Source organism: Homo sapiens, chromosome 4, assembly GCF_000001405.40.
Source record: "Homo sapiens chromosome 4, GRCh38.p14 Primary Assembly".
Taxonomy (NCBI): Eukaryota; Metazoa; Chordata; class Mammalia; order Primates; family Hominidae; genus Homo; species Homo sapiens.
This window is the reverse complement of record NC_000004.12, coordinates 75,746,980-75,767,620: the sequence shown is the minus strand read 5'-3', so window position 1 is coordinate 75,767,620 and position 20,641 is coordinate 75,746,980. Positions and strand designations below refer to the sequence as shown.

At 38.2% G+C, this 20,641-nt stretch overlaps 1 protein-coding gene across 4 annotated transcripts in view; it reads right to left on the bottom strand.

Moving 5' to 3' along the window:
* USO1 (USO1 vesicle transport factor) overlaps nt 1-20,641 on the bottom strand; it is an 89,710-nt gene that overhangs the window by 46,666 nt on the left and 22,403 nt on the right. For 2 of the 4 annotated variants that reach the window (NM_001290049.2, XM_006714397.4), the window contains exons 2-5: nt 15,162-15,248; nt 15,017-15,081; nt 10,048-10,124; nt 7,016-7,027 (exon numbers count right to left, since the gene is read on the bottom strand). In NM_001290049.2, coding sequence (NP_001276978.1) covers nt 7,016-7,027; nt 10,048-10,124; nt 15,017-15,081; nt 15,162-15,248 — 241 coding nt within the window. The remainder of the gene's footprint in view (nt 1-7,015; nt 7,028-10,047; nt 10,125-15,016; nt 15,082-15,161; nt 15,249-20,641) is intronic. The other 2 variants (XM_006714396.5, NM_003715.4) reach the window with 1 other exon arrangement.

Here is a 20,641-nt window from a genome sequence, read left to right as displayed (position 1 = left end):
AGATGCCTGCTACCACGCCCGGCTAATTTTTTCTACGTTTAGTATAGATGGGGTTTCACTGTGTTAGCCAGGATGGTCTCCATCTCCTGACCTTGTGATCCGCCTGCCTTGGCCTCCCAAAGTGCTGGGATTACAGGCGTGAGCCACCATGCCCGGCCAAGAGTTACAAACTTTTAAAAGAAAAAGCCAAGCATGTTTATACATGTATCAAAAGTCATCAAATTGTTTATTTACATATGTTCATTATTTTACATTAATTAGATGTCAATAAAGCTGTATGTGTTAGGGGGTATCTAAGTAAAGATATTGAGTGAATATCTGAATATACAATGATGAACTTCAGGGGAGAGGTCTGGGTTGGACATGCACATTTGAGTGGCAAGCATATAAATTATATTTGAAGTTACAAGCCTAGATGAAATCAACAAGGGAGGGAAGGGGGAAGGAAAGAAATCTGTGCCCTGTGGCATTCTAATATTAAGAGGTTGGGGAGATGGGGAGGAAAACTGCGAAGGAGACAAAGAGTAACCAATGAAAAAGGAAGAAAGCCAGGAGACTTCGCAGACTGACAAACAAATGAAGAAAGTACTCAATGAGAAAGGAGTGACTATCAAATACTAATGATAGGTAGAATCCCCTCTGAACTTCAAGAAATGAGGTACATTACTAACACAGGTAGAGGTAATTTCCATTCATTTACAAAATGACTAGGGTTGAGTAGTTAAATACTTTCCTGAGTAGCAGTACAGTATAATGGAAGAAGCTCACAAAGATTTTTGAGTAAGACCAGTTAAACTCATATTCAACCACTTAATAGCCATGTTACTTTGGGCAAGTAGCCTAACTCTGTCAAGTCTCAGTTTCCTTATTTGTAAAATGGAGATAATGTCTTCACATGGGGTTTTCTGTGAGGATTTAAAATAAGTAGAACATCTAGCATAGGGCTTTGTAAATAATGTGCTCAATAAACAGAAGCACTGTCATCATCACCATCATCAAAATCATCATCCCCAAGACAGGATTTCTCAACCTTGGCACTCCTGACATTTCTGGCCAGGTACGTCTTTGTTGTATGACCTCCTCGTGCAGTTTAAGATGTTTAGCACTGTCCCTGGCCTTACCCACTAGACGCAGTAGCACTCTCTTACTTCCTCTTACTGTGACAACCAAAAATGTCTCCAGACGTTGCGGAATGTACTAGGAGTGGGGTAAAGGAGGGTAAATTGCCCTCACTTGAGAACCATGGTCCTAAGATTTACAACATAAGCTATATATTTACTAAGTTTTCAAATGAAACAGAACCTAACAATCTTCCTTTGATGATTCAGAATTTTGGATTCTTATAAGGTTATCATTAATAAGTATTATCACCAAGATGCAAAAGACATAAGAAAAAGTATATCCTATACTTCCAGAAAGTTGTCTGTAAGTCTTGATATTTTACCTTATATTTCTCTCTTTCTCATAAAAGTTATATGCAATCTATCAAAAAAAGTAACTGACTCTAAATAAAAGTAAATTCACTGTATTTTAATTAAAGTTTTATATCTTAGGTTAGTGGTGGCTTCAGAAGAATTATATCGGGAAGCAGTCACTACTTCCACTTCAGGAAAACAGGTAGAGGAGAGGATAAAGGATAAAAAACAAACAAAAAACAAACACCAAAAGTACACTTGAAAGCTATCATGTTACTACATAATCACAGATATACTGAGGGTATTAAGTGAAGGTGGCAGAGGATTGATGCTACAAAGGCCTGATAATAATCATAAGGAAGCCTAATACTCAAACATAACTAGAGTGGATTCAAGGGACATTCTCTGCTACAGATCTCCTTAAAGGATTTCCTGTTGTTCCTTTGTGAGCTGATAAAATTGTGTCCTAATTACTTACACACGCTTGAAGGTAAAACCTTGCTTGGTAAATTGTGATTTTCAAAGCTCAAAGGTGAACTTATGAATGGAGTTGGAAAAAAAAAAAAAAGAACTGGTACCAGGCACATAGCAAGAACTGCACACCCTTCCCATTTTATTTACAAACTGACAGGATGATGGAAAAGGAGACTGTGAAAAAATTGGAAAAGATAATGGGAACTTGGGAGCTGGTAGAATCTTTTGAAAGCTTTCATCTTTAGAATCAGCTATGAACAGAAGTCCTGATTCCCACAGTATGGTAAATGTTACATACCCAATAAAATCTCACAAGAGCTGGTGGGCTAATGAGCCTACCTTGTTTTTTAAGCCACCCCAGAACCCTAACAAATCATGGAGATGTTAGCCAAATTCTAGTGAAACTGTATAGATAAAAAAGCAGATAAAGAAATTATACAAAAAGGGCCCATTGGGAATGCATGTCAAATAAATTATTCTCCAAATACATGAGAAATCTATGTTCAAAAGACAAGTAATATTCTCTCAGAATTGTCTCCCTCAAGAAATTAAAATCACAGCAATATTAACTTAGTCATGGGTGCTTTGTAGGGCTAGTTTCCATTTGCATATATTCATATTTGTTGAATGAGATATATAACTTTAAAAATCATGCGTTTGAAAGTAATTTATAGCATAATTATTTTTTATCTCAGTGGTGTGAAGATAGCAGAGAATGAAAACTTGACTACAAACAAAAGACAGTAATGTGAGTGAGTGAAGCAGGCTAACATTAGAGGATGGGGAGTATATGCTCTGTCTAAGGAAAACAGCAGTTACTCAACTCCAGCTGCCTGTTGCCATGTAGGAATGCAGATCCAGGTATTGCCAATCTTCAGGTTTTTTCAAAAAGAAGTCTAAAATACAAACGTTGACACAAGCTCCCAATTTATAATAGTGGCAACTTATTCACCTTACTTAAAATACTATGTGGGTCAAACAGCCTTGCTTACAAGATAGACAATGCCCTTGGGCCAAAAGTTTGTGACCTCATGAGAAAAGCTAAAAATTATAGTTATTGACATTTGGGAAAACATTAAAAATTATAAACTAATCTAAAAAGGAAGAAAAAAAACCACATATAGACTTGATGGATTCTTCCCCTAAAATGTATTTTAAAATGTTGAAATATTTTTACATATGTAAACATAAACAACTAACCAAGCCTTGGTTAGTATATTTCAAAACAAAGGATAGTGTGGCATGTTAATAGGTACATGGCAGAACTAAGCCCCTGTGGACAAATATATTTGGATTAAACAAAGTTGAACAAGATTTTTCACTGCAGGCTTCTCAGCACTTACTACACCAGTGTAAATTTTATGAAGCTTCAGAGGGGAATATAGTATTTATGTTTATTTAACTATGAACCCGTTTTAATACAGAACACTCTCTAGAACTTCTGTGCTATGCTTTAAGGAAGTCAGGTCTAATACCAGAAAAAGTTTAATTCAGTGTTTGCACTGGGCACAAGCAAATAACTTAGGAAGAAGTAGAGTTAATATCTTTAATTTATTCTGTAGCTATATTGTATAATATGCTGTAGCTTATCAGTATAGAATTAAAATTTACATTTTGAACTGAACTAGTAAAATATGGTCCTATTACAAGGATCAATGGTTCCTTCTGGTTTAACACTGTCAATTTGAAAAAGTGTGAGATATACGCCATTTCTTTTAAGTTACAGTCATAAGACAGCACTTCTGAACTTTAATGAAGTATCCCCAAATTAGCTAAGCAATTAAGGTAATACACAAAGCTTTAAGTGTAGCAGTAAATTAAGCTACAAACTACTATAAACTACTACACTAATATCTAAAAGTTGTGAACAAAAACTAGAACCATGAGAAATTATACCAATTATACGTGTAAGCAAAGGCATGAAACAAGTAAACCATCTTCTCTCATCATTAATCATTAGATTACAACCTTTATAGCTAAGTTTTTTATAGCCTATAGTTTATATATTATATTGTGCATTTATAACCTGTAAATGACCATTTATTGTAAGGTAAATGAAAAAAATAAGATAAAAATGAAATGGCCCTTTGTTACCATAGTAAAAATAAATTTAATATAGGAATGTAAAATAAAAAAATGCCCGTTCTAAGTACTTACACAGATGCTCCTCAATTTACAATGGGGTTATGTCCTGATAAGCCCATCAAAAACTGAAAATATCATAGGTTGAAAATGTATTTAATATGTTTAACCTACTTTAAATGTGCCCAGAACACTTACATTATCCTACAGCTAGGCAAAATATAACAGAAATCATATTTTATAATAAAGTATTATCTCATGTAATTTACTGAATACTGTACTGAAGGTGAAAAAACAGAATGGTTGTATGGGTATTCGAAGTATAGATTCTACTGAATGTATATTGCTTTCACACCATCGTAAATCAAAAAATCGTGAAGTTGAACCATCATCTGTCTGTATAGCTCTGGATAGTTTTCAGGCCTGTTTATATGGCTGGCATTTAAGTACGCATGCATAGATATATTTACTCTTCAAATGTATTTCTAGTAGTACTTTTTCCAGAGGTGTAAACAATATTTAAAAACATTTCTGGATCTTCTCTTTGGAATTCTATTCTATACTAAGTTCACAATCTATATTATGAAGAAAAGAAATTGCTTTATAAAAGGAGATATCCTAATAAAATCAGTCCTCAGAGTGAAGAAATATCAAATAATCTTCGTTTATACTGGTAGTTAATTAAACAGGTACATGTATACTTTTTTTGTTGTTTTTGTTTTGAGACGGAGTCTCGCACTGTCGCCCAGTCTGGAGTGCAGTGGCACGATCTCTGCTCACTGCAAGCTCCGCCTCCCAGGTTCACACCATTCTCCTGCCTCAGCCTCCCAAGTAGCTGGGACTACAGGGGCCCGCCACCACGCCTGGCTAATTTTTTGTATTTTTAGTAGAGATGGGGTTTCACCATGTTAGCCAGGATGGTCTTGATCTCCTGACCTTGTGATCTGCCTGCCTCAGCCTCCCAAAGTGCTGGCATTACAGGCGTGAGCCACCGTACCTGGCCAGGTACATGTATACTTTTTAACATTTATCTGAATATTCTATAAACTAGTTTTGTGAATTACATGATTTAATAAAGAACCCAGTCAGAAAAATAAAGAAAAATTGGCCACAATTTATTGAATTAAAAATCTAAGAAATACTTTAAAAAAAAAAGGAAGGAAAAAATGTATTTAAAAATATTGTTCTGGCTGGGCGTGGTGGCTCATGCCTGTAATCCCAACACTTTGGGAGGCCAAGAAGGGCGGATCATGAAGTCTGGAGATCGAGACCATCCTGGCCAATATAGTGAAACCCTGTCTCTACTAAAAATACAAAAATTAGCTGGGTGTGGTGACACTAATCCCAGCTACTTGGGAGGCTGAGGCATGAGAATCGCTTGAATACAGGAGGCAGAGGTTGCAGTGAGCCGAGACTGTGCCACTGCACCCTAGCCTGGCAACAGAGTGAGACTCTGTCTCAAAAAAAAAAAAAAAAAAAAAAAAAGTAAAATTGTTCTTCTACTTACTCAGTGATACCATATAAGTTACATCATCTCTGGGCTTCCATTTTCTCATCTTTAGAAAGTAGAAAAATACCACCTACCTCACTGGCTGCTATGAGGATTACATAAGATAAACATGAAAGATAAATTTTAAAGCTCTCTACAGTATCACAATAATAGAAACAACTACTGATCTTTACTACCCAGCAAGGAAATAGCTTGACAAGAGTCAAGGCACAATGCTCTGGTATCATCTGATGTCAAACAAGAGATTCAAATGTCACAAAAGGTAATGCTTCATACTTTAATAAGTTAGTTTATTTGTTAGTATTTTTATTATATATAGGCAACTTTGTGATGTACCTTTTAAACACTGCTTTAGATACGAATATTTCCTTCTTCATTTAAAAAAGTTAAGCACCTCAAGGAAATTGGTAAAACAAAACAAACCAAAAAAACTTGGTTACTTTAGTTATGAAGAAAACAAGTATCAATGTTAAAAGTAAATGAAACTTAAAAGAGATTAGAGAGAAGAAAATAAAAAAACTAGTGAGTTCTACGAGTTAAGGTAAGAAATGTCAGTAACTAAAACATCATTACTGAGTATGCATTATTTTAAAGGGACAATATCAATATACATTCTCTGAACTAGAATACCTTCCAGTTCTTACTGAATATAGGTAAAAAATATATGTATACATACTGAAATATTACTTTTATAGATTTTTGTTTGTTTGTTTTTTAGAGGCAGGGTTTCACTATGTTGTCTAGCCTTGAGTGCAGTGGGTATTCACAGGTGCAATCATTGCTCACTGCAGCCTCGAACTCCTGGGCTCAAGCAGTTTTCCCACTTTAGTCTCCCAAGTAGTTGGCACTACAGGCATGCACCACTGCACTTGGCAAGTATTTTTAAATGAACTGTCTAAAAACTTTTTTCCAGGAAATACACACAAGTAATTTTGAATAAATTGTCCTACCAGAGAAAAAGCTTTAATTTTTATTTATTAATTTTTTTTTTTGAGACAAGTCTCACTCTGTCGCCCAGGCTGGATCGTGCAGTGGCACAATCTTAGCTCACTGCAACCTCTGTCTCCTGGGTTCAAGCAATTCTCCTGCCTCAGCCTCCCAAGTAACTGGGATTACAGGCACCAGCCACCACACCTGGCTAATTTTTATATTTTTAGTAGAGACAGGGTTTCACCACGCTGGCTAGGCTGGTCTTGAACTCCCGACCTCAAGTGATCTGCCCGCCTTGGCCTCCCAAAGTGCTGGGATTACAAGTGTGAGCCACCACGCCTGGCCAGAAAAACCTTTAATTTTATTTAAAGGTGCACTAGAATATTTTATGTGTTCTGGACAGTAAACAGATTTAGTAGCTGCAGAAATAATAGTAATGTAAGTTTATTAAAATATTCCTCTTCAATTAAAGAATTCTTATATAGTAAAACAAATTTCAGATTTTTTTTTTACCAGCCAGAAGAAACAGTACTTGACAGTGTCCTTTTATATTATCAGAAACTATGCCTAAAAGCATCATGCAGATGTAAATGCAATCTTTTACCTTCAACATCATCTGAAAAGGTAGATAAAAATAAATAAATAAAAAGTGGATGATAAAGACAATAGTTTTTTAATGTAGTAGTATACACGTAAAATAGGAGCTTAAAAATGTTTAATAAGCTACATAATCCTTTGGAAGAAGAGATCCATATGTACTTTGGTCAAATACCTCAGATATACTAAAAGAGATTTAGCATACGCTATATTTTTAGGACTACGAGACAGATTTATCATTAGAGGGTTGTAAAACAGTCCTAAAGAACTCTAAAATGTAGTTCATTGTGTCAGCTAAGAATTACATTTCATGAAGCAATAAAAGCAAAGTATCAATAACAGAACTGAAGGACATGTCTCAATGTCTATTTTTATTTTTATTTTTATTTTATTTTATTTTTGAGACAGAGTCTCCCTCTGTCGCCCAGGCTGGAGTACAATGGTGCGATCTCCGCTCACTGCAACCTCCGCCTCCCGGGTTCAAGCAATTCTACTGCCTCAGCCTCCTGAGTAGCTGGGATTACAGGTGTGCACCACCACGCCCGGCTAATTTTGGTATTTTTAGTAGAGATGGGGTTTCACCATGTTGGTGAGACTGGTCTCGAACTCCTGACCTCAGGTGATCCACCCACCTTGGCCTCCCAAAGTGCTGGAATTACAGGCGTGAGCCACCATGTCTGGTCTATTTTTTTTTTTTTTTTTAAGACAGAGTCTTGTTCTGTTGCCCAGGCTGGAGAGTGCAGTGGCACAATCTTGGCTCACTGCAACCTCTGCCTCCCAGGTTCAAGTGATTCTCCTGCCTCAGTCTCTCAAGTAGCTGAGATTACAGGTGTGCAACACCATGGCTGGCTAATTTTTGTGTTTTTAGTAGAGACGGGGTTTCTCCAGGTTGGCCAGGCTGGTCTTGAACTCCTGACCTCAGGTGACCTGCCTGTCTCGGTGTCCCGAAGTACTGGGATTACAGGCGTGAGCCACCGTGCCCAGCCAATGTCTACTTTCTTTCTTTTCTTTTTTTTTTTGAGACAGAGTCTCACTCTGGTGCCCAGGCTGAAGTGCAATGGCACAATCTCGGCTCACTCCAACCTGTACCTCCTGGGTTCAAGCAGTTCTCCTGCCTCAGCTTCCTGAGTAGTTGGGATTACAGGTGTGTGCGACCACGCCCAGCTAATTTTTGTATTTTTAGTAAAGACAAGGTTTCACCATGTTGGCCAGGCTGGTCTCGAACTCCTGACCTCAAGTGATCCACCCGCCTCGGCCTCCCAAAGTGCTGGGATTACAGGCGCGAGCCACCGCGCCCAGCCCAATGTCTACTTTTTAACTGACTCTTTCAGGATGACTAAATTTTCAGAAAAAAAAAAAAAAAAAAGGTCCTTAATAAAAGTGATTCTATTACTGTTTATCCAAAGGATCATTTTTGGATGCTAAATTAAAGAGCCTAAAAACACAAAGAAAAATGCAACAGGTGGGCTCTAAACATGATTATAAATTTATTAAAAAAAAACCTCCTAACTAAAAAATATTGTTGCTACACATTTTTTTTAAGAACAGAAAAAATTATCCCAGCAAATTAACTGGAAAAAGAGCTAAATTTTTAATCTGAAACAACTAAGGGGGATAAAAGGAAAGAAAAGAATGTCATTTTTAAAAATGTATTTGAACAACTGCGTTGCATCTAATTTTCTCATTGTAGAAATAACTAGGGAAAATAAGTATCTTTTTCTTCAAAGTATATTCTTGTGTGTATTGTATCTATGTATTGTCACGTGACTGACAACCTCTTTTTCCATGGGTACCAAATTACATTTACTAAATATTTTTCACCCTTAAGAAATTAATAAAGTTAAGCTATAGGATAGATATCATGGAGAAATTTGTTTAAAAAATTTTTTTTAAATGAGATGGGGTCTCACTTATGTTGCCCAGGCTGCTCTTGAACTCCTAGGTTCAAGCAATCCTTCCACCCCAGCCTCCCAAAGTGCTGGGATTGCAGACATGAGCCATAACACCCAGCCAAAATAAAAGTTTTTTAAAAAGGATATTTATGTCTAAGAAATTGTGACTATGCAACATGATCCAGTTTCAGATGTTCTCAATACTAGTATTCTGTGAAGTTAATATTGACATATATTCCTGCTCTACTTTTAATTTTAATAAAATATGAGCAAGGTCAGTATGTATCTATACTTCTTTATTATTTGTCTACTCAGAATTTTGAGAGATCATATAACTTCAGTCTAAATTAGATTTATAAAATGTATGAATATATCCACTGTTCTGACTTTACAGAATAATGAAAAATCTACTACGTCCTACTGTAACAGCCAATTTGATATGACAAATACACTCTTCAACAGAATTGTGAAATGTTACTGCGAATGTTTTGCAACATATAGAACAAAATGTATACAGGACAAAATGTATACAGACTTCCAATCAAGCTTCACACAGTGACAATAAATAAGACAGATAACTTTATGTTAAGTGTGCAAATATTTTAAAACAAAAAAGAAAATGAATGTGCCAAAGAAATGTGTGGATTTCAAACCGATTTATAGCAATGTTCACCAAACAGACAAAATGTAAAGAAAAAAAATCTAAATTTAAAAAATTGTTGCACTTTATAAATTAACATAAGTCCTATGTAAAAAGTTTAAGTATTTATTAGGAAAAACTCTCTAATTTTATATTGCTCACTAGATAATAATATAAATTTTCAATCAATAGCCATAAATAATTATTTAATCCAGAACTGGCTAATATGCATACTGCCTAACTAAAACCAAACACAAGCGGGCAAAAATATTAGTTAAAAAGAAGGATCTTATTCCATCTCACTATAATGTTCTGACTTACACACAAAGCAATCATCCTAAAGACACTTTTCTAGATCTAAGCCTATGTGTTTATTAAATTTTTTAATGAAAAAAGTAAAAAAACTTATACATTTATAAAACAAGTCCAACTTTAAAACCAGCAAAATTAGCACAACCCAGTTGGTTTTAAGTACAGAAAACACAGTAAAAATAACTGGAAACTTACCTACTTCTTCTTCTTCTTCATTAGATATTATATTATATAGTGTGTCCAAAGCATAACCTATTATTTCAGAATCTGAACTGGAAAAAAGAAATTATTACACTTATACACTGCTGATGAGAGTATAAACTGTTATGACCATTTTTAGTTATTTAGCAATTTTAGAAAATTCCATTTCTAAAGGCATACTCTAAGAAAATATCAGAGTGCAAACTGTAAAAAATGTGTAGTTTTATTTCTAATTGTGAAAATTTAGAAGCAACCTAAATGCTCAATAATAAAAAAACACAGTATGGCAAATTCATACATATAAGGCGGCAATTTAAAAAATGTATTTTGTTTTTTTACTTTGAATCCTGAGAAGCTAAAAAATGTATTTCCGAAGAATATTTAGTGACATGATAATTTTAAAAATTCTTGATATAATAGCAAGTGGAAAAATATAAAAATTTATGCACAGTTATTCCATTTAGTAAAATATATATGTATACGTTTGTATCTATGCATATTTTAAAACATTATAAATTTACAAAATAAGTACAACTTTAAAACCAGCAAAACTAGCATGACTCAGTTAATTTTATGTGTGTCTGTGTATGTTTACATATGTATATATATGTATACATATATAAAAATCTAACTGTTCATATCTAGAGGAACGAAGTAGACTTAAAAATATAAAGAAAAGTAACTGTTATCTCTAGTTCAACTACTAGAGTGTTTTTCTTCTTTATATATTATTTTCTTAAAAAAAAATCTTATGGTGCCCGGTGCGGTTGCTCACGCCTGTAATCCCAGCACTTTGGGAGGCTGAGGCAGGTGGATCACCTGAAGTTGGGAGTTCGAGACCAGCCTGACCAAAAGTAGAGACGGAGAAACCCCGTCTCTATTAAAAATACAAAATTAGCCGGGCGTGGTGGTGCATGCCTGTAACCCCAGCTGCTCAGGAGGCTGAGGCAGGAGAATCGCTTGAACCTGGGAGGCAGAGGTTGCAGTGAGCCGAGATTGTGCCACTGCACTCTAGCCTGGGCAACAAGAGCAAAACTCCGTCTCAAAAAAAAAAAAAAAATTATTATGAAAGACAATAAAGACCACTTTACATAAGAGATGCATTCTATTTTCCATATTGAGATGTTAATCATTTCATCATTAACTTTATAAGACTCAGTAATAAAATATGCGTGTGATTTAACACTCATAGAATAAAGAAGATTATAAGTATGTATAATCATCACACTAATCTGCTTCTTTTTTCCTGCTCTTCTAAAGGCCACCCACATTCTCTGGCTCACGGCTCCTTCTCTCCATTTTCAAAGCCACCAAGAGCAGGTTGAGTCCTTTTTTTCTATCACTACACTCTGACTTCCTCTTCTGCGTTCCTGTTCTACTTCTTTTTTTTTTTTTTTTGAGACGGAGTCTTGTTCTGTCACCCAGGCTGGAGTGCAGTGGCGCGATCTTGACTCACTGCAAGCTCCCCCTCCTGGGTTCTTGCCATTCTCCTGCCTCAGCCTCCTGAGTAGCTGGGACTACAGGCGCCCGCCACCACTCCCGGCTAATTTTTTGTATTTTTAGTAGAGATGGGGTTTCACCGTGTTAGCCAGGATGGTCTCGATCTCCTGACCTTGGGATTCGCTCACCTCGGCTTCCCAAAGTGCTGGGATTACAGGCATGAGCCACCGTGCCCAGCCTTTTCCTGTTCTACTTCTAAGGACCCTGTGATAACACTGGGTCCACCAGGGTCAAAGTCCTTAACTTAAGCATATCTGGAAAGTCTCTCTCACTATCTAAGGTAAAATTCACAGGTTTTGTTGATTAGGATATAGATATCTTTGGGAGGCCATAATTCTGTCTACCACAGTTACCTACTGTGATGTTAATAACACAGACAGTCCTGATGCATCCAATTCGCTTATTCAAATGCATTAGACTTAGTGGCTTTGAAAAGGTAGTCAATTTGAGTTACACTGTCTGGGGAGAAGAAAAAAGGTCCTAACTGTTATGGACAAGCAGCTGGGCATAACTGAAATATAACTGAAAACGAGTCTACGAGATTAGACAGGCAGTACACAGATCTTTAAAAAGCTTGTATCTTTAGCTTTGTTTGAGAAACATGAACTTCACACTTCACTGAACTGGTGAAATGCATTAAATGAGAGAATGACTGAAGATACGCATTTCAGAAGGATAATTCTTGCAACATATAGACTGAATGGAAATACAAAGAGACTGGAGGAAAATAATACTTTGGAGATGACGATTGTTTTAAACTATGTCCAAAACTTTTCGATTCATCTCTTTTCAAAAAAGTGAAGCCTAATTCTCCTCTCCTTAAGTATAGGCTGTACTTATTAACCTGCTTCTAACAACTAGAATATGATGGGATTGCCAGTACATGACTCTGGAGATTGAGTTATAAAAGGCACTGTGGCTTTCTATTTTTCTCTCTCTAGGATAGTTTGCTCTGGGAGAGCAGTTGCCATATCAAACAGCCTTACCAAGAGAGAAACATGTTGAGGAACTGAGGCCTCTTGCCAATAGCAATGTAAGACATCTTGGAATCAGATCCTCCAGCCCCAGTCAAGCCTTCAGATGACTGCAGACCTGGCTGATGGCTTCATGGCAACCTCATGAGAGACCCTGAGCCCACTTAGCTAAGTTGATCCTCAATTCCTGATCCACAGAAACTATGAGGTGATAAATATTTTATTTTGAACCACTAAGTTTTGAAGTAATTTGTTACACGGCCAAAGATAACAAACACAGAGGCTGTGGAAATTATTTAAGTGATTGACACTGAGCCAGAACTAAGGCCAAAAAAGGAAACGGAAAGAAAATAATGGACTCTAGCTGTTTTTTGGCCTGTGTAGGCATGATGGGTTCAGGAGAGGAATGAGTTCCCTAAGAATCCTCCAGTTTCTCGCTTGAATGGAAAGATGCTCATGACTGAGATGAACTTAGGGTAAAAGTGGTCGAAGGGGGCATGGAAAGCCTAGAAGGATTGGAGGACCAGAGATAAATTAACTTTGAACATTTTGAATTTGAGAGGCTTATGAGAGATCTTGGTAGAGTAGAAATGTACAATGCACAGCTAAAGCTTGTAAGACACATTCAACTGTAGCTAAGATCTGGAAGCTATCCATGCACAGTTAATGAAAACCAAAGATGGAGATAAAATCTCTTAAAAAGAAATTGAGGGCCAGGTGTGGTGGCTCACACCTGTAATCCCAGCACTTTGGGAGGCTGAGGTGGGCGGATCACCTGAGTTCAGGAGTTCGAGACCAGCCTGATCAACATGGAGAAACCCCATCTCTATTAAACATACAAAATTAGCCAGGCATGGTGGCGCATGCCTGTAATCCCAGGTACTCGGGAGGCTGAGGCAGGAGAAATCACTTGAACCCAGGAGGCAGAGGCTGCAGTGAGCCTAGACTGCAACATTGTACTCCAGCCTGGGCAATGAGAGCGAAACTCTATCTGAAAAAAAAAAAAAGGCTGGGCGCGGTGGCTCACGCCTGTAATCCCAGCACTTTGGGAGGCCAAGGCAGGTGGATCACGAGATCAGGAGATCGAGACCATCCTGGCTAACATGGTAAAACCCCGTCTCTACTAAAAATACAAAAAATTAGCCAGGTGTGGTGGTGGGCACCTGTAACAGGTACCAGCTACTTGGGAGGCTGAGGCAGGAGAATGGCATAAACTCGGGAGGCGGAGCTTGCAGTGAGCTGAGATCATGCCACTGCACTCCAGCCTGGGCGACAGAGCGAGACTTAATCTCAAAAAAAAAAAAAAAAAAAAATTGAAAGAGCTAAAAATGGGCTAAATGATGCTTCTTTTTCTTTAAATTTATATTTATTTTGTCAAGACAAGGTCTCACTCTGCTGCCCAGGTTGGAATACAGTGGTATGATCACGGCTCACTGCAGCCTTGACTTCCTGGGCTCGAGTGATCCTCCCACCTCAGCCTCCCGAGAAGCTGGGACCACAGGTATGTGACAACACACCCAGCTAATTTTTATTTTATTATTTATCTTTTTTGTTTTTTTGAGACAGAGTCTTGCTCTGTTGCCCAGGCTGAAGTGCAGTTGGACGATCTTGGTTAACTGTAATCTCCATCTCCTGGGTTCAAGTGATTTCTCCCACCTCAGACTCCCAAGTAGCTGGGATTACAGGCATGCACCACCAGGCCTGGCTAATTTTTGTTATTTTTAGTAGAGACCGGGTTTCACCATTTGACCAGGCTGGTCTCGAACTCCTGACCTCAAGTAATCCACCTGCCTCGGCTTCCCAAAGTGCTGGGATTACAGGCATGAGACACCATGCCTGGCCTAATTTTTATTTTTTATGTTGCCCAGGCTAGTATCGAACTCCTGGGCTCAAGCAATCCTCCCACCTCAGCCTTCCAAGGTGCTGGAATTACAAGCTTGAGCCACCATATCTGGCAATCTTTCTCTTACGACAGGCTCATATTTAACACTTAACTCTTATTACTGCAGTTTATTTCTCTTAAAAAAGCAAGTCTGAATACCAAAATATGTATATTATATGTAAATGAATATCTACTTGCCCAGTGTAAATGAATACCACTTGCCCAATTCAAACTCAAAATCTCAAGGCATTAAAGAGTTGCTTTATCCCATTTTTATATGTCTGTTTTATGCTTAACACAGTGGCTCGCACTCTGTCCAATAAATCTTTATCGAAATGACATCTGAAGTAAAAACTTAACAGCTTTAGTATGTCAACAACTTTTAGGGCCAGGCGCAGTGGCTCACACCTGCAATCCCAGCACTTTGGGAGGCCGAGGTGGGCAGATCGCCTGAGCCCAGGAGTTCGAGACCAGCGTGGGCAACATGGCAAACCCCATCTCTACCAAAAAATACCAAAAAAAAAGCAATCTTTTGGAATAGTGATGCTGACTCTAAAACAAAAGTTCAAGAAAAATTAGGGAAAAAAATCATTAAACAGAGACTTACCGATCTGTTTGTAAAACATGAATAAGATGTTCCATAGCTTGTATACCCACTTCCAAGCGGTATTTCTGCACATAAAAAATAAAAATGTTACTAAAGTAACTAATATCCAACTTAAGAAACTTAAAACATTTACAAAGTTACAAACCTTAGATAATGATTTGAGAGCACGAACAGCATTTCTTCGATCATCCAATAAAGTAGATGAAGCTACTCTGTCACAAAGCTTTTGAATCTGTCATGAAAAAATAAAATGGCATTAAAAGAATAAAAAAAACCGTGAAATTTTTGTCCCCTAAATTTATGCCATGTAATTAAAAAAAAAATCAGCACATGGGATGTAACAGAAATGGTCTTTCAGAAATCTAACTATGCATTTAGGTAGTATTATAATCTCATTACAGAGATCAAATAGTTTTGCAGAGACTTAAAAAGTGGGAGGGGCTGAAAGAGAAGTCAAAATAAATCATATAAATTGAGGAATTAAAAGAAATAATTGGTAAAATCAGAGCTTTCTAATTAGGCCTATTATGACTGTTTGAACCAGGAGGGGAGCATAATCCAATATGGTTATGATAGAAGACAGAAAGTTATTTAAAATTTTTAAAATAGTAATTGTTTACATCATCTTTTTCCTAACATTTTCATCATATATCTGAACAAGAAGAAGTCAAAACTTTATATCAAAACTTTTAAGTGTGCCTCAAAATATACAAGGATGAAACGCTTCATTATAAAATAATTTATAGAAACCAAAAAAAAAATTTTTTTTTTTGAGACGAAGTCTCGCTCTTGTCCCCCAGGCTGGAGTGCGACAATGCGATCTCGGCTCACTGCAACCTCCGCCTCCTGGGTTCAAGTGATTCTACTGCCTCGGCCCCCCTGAAAAGATGGGATTACAGGCACCTGCCACCATGCCTGGCTAATTTTAGTATTTTTAGTAGAGACAGGGTTTCACCATATTGGCCAAGCTCATCTAGAGCTCCTGACTTCAGGTGATCCACCCGCCTCGGCCTCCCAAAGTGCTGGGATTACAGGCATGAGCCACTGCGCCCGGCCAAAACCAAAATTTAAACTGAATTTTAAAACGAATCTTGGCCGGGCTCAGTGGCTCATGCCTGTAATCCCAGCACTTTGGGAGGCCGAGGCGGGTGGATCACCTGAAGTCAGGAGCTCTAGATGAGCTTGGCCAATATGGTGAAACCCTGTCTCTACTAAAAATACTAAAATTAGCCGGGCATGGTGGCACGTGTCTGTAGTCCCAGCTACTTGGGAGGCTGAGGCAGAAGAATTGCTTGAACCTGGCAGGCGGAGGTTGCAGTGAGCCGAGATTGCACCACTGCACTCCAGCCTGAGTGACAGAGTGAGGTTCCGTTTCAAATAAATAAATAAATAAAAATAAAATAAAATAAAATAAAATAATTTATAGAAACCAAACTTTCAACTGAATTTTAAAACAAATCTTGGAACATTATTAATAATAGGAAAAAACAGATAACAACTTAACTATCCAATATGAGAAGAAAGCTAAACAATTGTAATACATTCTTTGATGGAACGCCATGTAGGTATTCAAAAGAATTAACTACTGATATGAAAATACCATGGTATAATAATGAGATGAAAAAAAGCAAGTTATAAAACTAAATTTAAACTACGGATTCAGTAAAGCAAAAGTATCAGACTGTGCATATAAAATTACATTAAAAAAGAATTTGGAAACCTAAAACTGTAAAACTTCTAGAAGAAAGCATACGAGAAAATCCTCGTGACCTCTGTTTAGGCGAAGACTTCTCAGATGCCACATTCATAAAAGAAAAATGTAGAATGGGCACGGTGGCTCACACCTGTAATCTCAGCACTTTGGGAGGTCGAGGTGGGTGGATCACAAAGTCAAGAGATCGAGACCATCCTGGCCAACATGGTGAAACCCTGTCTCTACTAAAAATACAAAAATTAGCTGGGTGAGGTGGTGCGCACCTATAGTCCCCAGCTACTCGGGAAGCTGAGGCAGGAGAATCGCTTGAACCCGGGAGGCAGAGGTTGCAGCGAGCTAAGATCGCACCACTACACTCCAGCCTGTTGACAGAGCGAGACCCTGTCTCAAAAATAAATAAATAAAAATTAAAAAAAGAAAAATGTAATAAATTAGATTTCATCACTTTTTTTTTAGATGGGGTCTTGCTCTATCTCCTAGGTTGAAGTGCAGTGGTGCAATCATGGCTCCCTGTAGCCACAACCTCCTGTCCTCAAGCAATCCTCCCACCTCAGCCTCTCGAGTAGCTGGGCCCACAGGCACACAACCACAACTACATCTGGCTAATTTTCTTGTAATTTTTAGAGACAGGGTCTAACTATATTGCTCAGTCTGCTCTCAAACTCCTGGGCTCAAGTGATTCTCCCACGTTGGCCTCCCAAAGTGCTGGGATTACAGGTGTGAGCCACTGCACCCAACCCCACTTCTGCTGTTCGAAAGACACTATGAAGAGACTGAAAAGGTAAACCACAGACTGGGTGAAAATATTTGGAAAACATCTGATGAAGAACATAGTTTAGGCCGGGCGTGGTGGCTCACGCCTATAATCCTAGCACTTTGGGAGGCTGAGGTGGGTGGATCACGAGGTCAGGAGATCGAGACCATGCTGGCTAACATGATGAAACCCTGTCTCTACTAAAAATGCAATAAAAATTAGCTGGGCCTGGTGACGGGTGCCTGTAGTCCCAGCTACTCAGGAGGCTGAGGCAGGAGAATGGCATGAACCTAGAGGCGGAGCTTGCAGTGAGCCGAGATCGCACCACTGCACTCCAGCCTGGGCGACAGTGCAAGACTCCGTCTCGGGAGAAAAAAAAAAAAAAGAACATAGTTTAAAAAACACTTGGGTCCTTTCTAGCTCGGCCAATTAGTATTTTAACTTTTTTTTTTTCAAGACTATCATTAAAAAAGCAAGTATTTTAACTTACTAAAGAATGTACTTTAGGCCAGGAGTTTGAGACCAGCCTGGGCAACATAGTGAGACCATGTCTCTACAAAAAATAAAATTAGCTAGGTATGATGGTGTGAGCCTGTAGTCATAGCTACTCAGCAGGCTAAGGCAGGTGGATCACTTGAACTCAGAAGTTAAGAGGTTGCAGCAAGCTATGATCACGCCACTGCACTCCAGCCTGAGCAACAGAGTGAGACCTTGTTTCTCCATTAAAAAAAACAAAAAGAAAGTATAAGTTTATTATATTCTTTAAAGATTCTGTACATTAAGATTTTGGCAATGCAAATGTTTGCACCCTACGTATCTGAATTAATGGTGTTCAAATACATATAGCATTTCCCAAATTATGTTTTGCAGACTTCTAGTGTCCCAGAAGATATTAATAGATTCCCTACGATCACAGAACAAGTGGGAAACACAAGGTTATACGAAATTAACTCGGTTTGTGCATTGCATGATTTCTAGGAGTCTTTACAATTGCTGATTTGCATTTCTTCATATAGCAGATATAGCAGGATAACCAAGCCTAGCTTTACATTCTTTCTTTATTCATTCTAACTGTTCACATTTAAAAATCATTCATGGAAATGATATAATTTTCTCTTTATTATATAACTGGTTGACACTTTTCCTAATATATACATATATATACACATATATGTATATATATATTTTTTTTACTACTTAGAAAAACTACTTAGTTATCTCTTAAAAACATGAACCTCATTACTCTCAGCTTAAAGAATTTATTGAGTCAAAATAGTTTTCCAAAGCAAGACTGCAATTGCCTTTACTTAGGACTTGTACATCTTTTGCTCATTTTTTTAAGGTAGCTTATAGTTGATACTATGAATGGTAAATTTTTTTTCCAGGCGTTTTCTGCTTCTTCTTAGTCTTAGACCTCAAGTACTGGTTCTAGATCTGGGATTCTTATCTACCTTGAGGTACTTAGTCCCAGTACCATGCAGGGCTTGAATCTAGCCTCAACCTTACCTTTGGTTGGTGTATAGAGCTACTTGTCTCAAAATATAAATTTCCATGTCTGGATGCTCTTCAATCATTACTTGCTAAACGCAGAAATATAAAAGCTGTTCAATGTTGGTAGAGAAACTTAGCTTTAGAAATACTGGAGGATGGCCAGGCGCGGTGGCTCATGCCTGTAATCCCAGCACTTTGGGAGGCTGAGAGGGGTGGATTGCCTGAGCTCAGGAGTTCAAGACCAGTGTAGGCAATGTGGCAAAACCCCGTCCCTACTAAACTACAACAAATTAGCCAGGCATGGTCATGCACGCCTGTAGTCTCAGCTGTTCAGAAGGCCGAGGCACAAGAATTGCTTGAGCCTGGGAGGTGGAGGTTGCAGTGAGCCAAAGTGACACCACTGCACTCCAGCCTGTAAAAAAAAAAAAAAAAAAGAAATACCAGCTGGGCACGATGGCTCACGCCTGTAATCCCAGCACTTTGGGAGGCTGAAGGGGGCGGATCACCTGAGGTCAGGAGTTCGAGACCAGCCTCAACACAGAGAAACCCCGTCTCTACTGAAAATACAAAATTAGCTGGGCGTGGTGATACATGCCTGTAATTCCAGCTGCTCAGGAGGCTGAGGCAGGAGAACTGCTTGAACCCAGGAGGCGGAGGTTGCGGTGAGCCGAGATCGCACCATTGCACTCTAGCCTGGGCAACAAGAGTGAAACTCTGTCTCAAAAAAAAAAAAAAAAAAAAAAAAGGCCAGGTGAGGTGGCTCAGCACTCTGGGAGGCCGAGGTGGGCGGATCAGGAGGTCAGGAGATCGAGACCATCTTGGTTAACACAGTGAAACCCCATCTCTACTAAAAAAAAAAATACAAAAAATTAGCTGGGTATGGTGGTGGACATCTGTAGTCCCAGCTACTCAGGACGCTGAGGCAGGAGAATGGCATGAACCCAGGAGGCGGAGCTTGCAGTGAGCCAAGATTGCGCCACTGCACTCCAGCCTGGGCCACAGAGCGAGACTCCATCTCAAAAAAAAAAAAAAAAAAAAAAAAAGTCAAAGGTGAATATAAGAACAACTTATGGCTGAGAATGGCAGCTCACACTTGTAATCCTAACACTTTGGGATACTGAAGTGGGAGGAATGCTTGAGGCTAGGAACTCAAGCCCAGCCTGGGCAACATAGTGAGATCCCATCTCTACAGAAAATAAAAAAATTAAGTGGGCGTGGTGGTATGTTTGTAGTCCTAGCTACTCCAGAGGCTGAGGTAGGAGGACTGCTTGAGCAGTCCGAGGCTACAGTGAGTGTGGCTGTGGATGCGTCACTGTACTTCAGCCTGGATGACAGAGCAAGACCCTGCCTCAAAATATAATAATAATTTTAAAAAGAACAACTTATTTACCTAGCACCATTAGACTGAGCTCTTTCAGATACCTCTGTCAAGCACCAAAATGGCCTTTTCATTTTAATGATTTCTGATGGTGATCTAAAATTAGTTACATGCTTCTCTATCTTCATAAACAAAGAAGAATGTAATTATGAGCTTTCTTAGCATATAAACCTAAATCCTCCCCTATATGATATAGAGGATGTCTTAGATATTAAATGAAATAATACATATAAAAGCTTTATATAATACCTGGCACCTATGAATCTTCAATAAATGTTAGCAAATTTT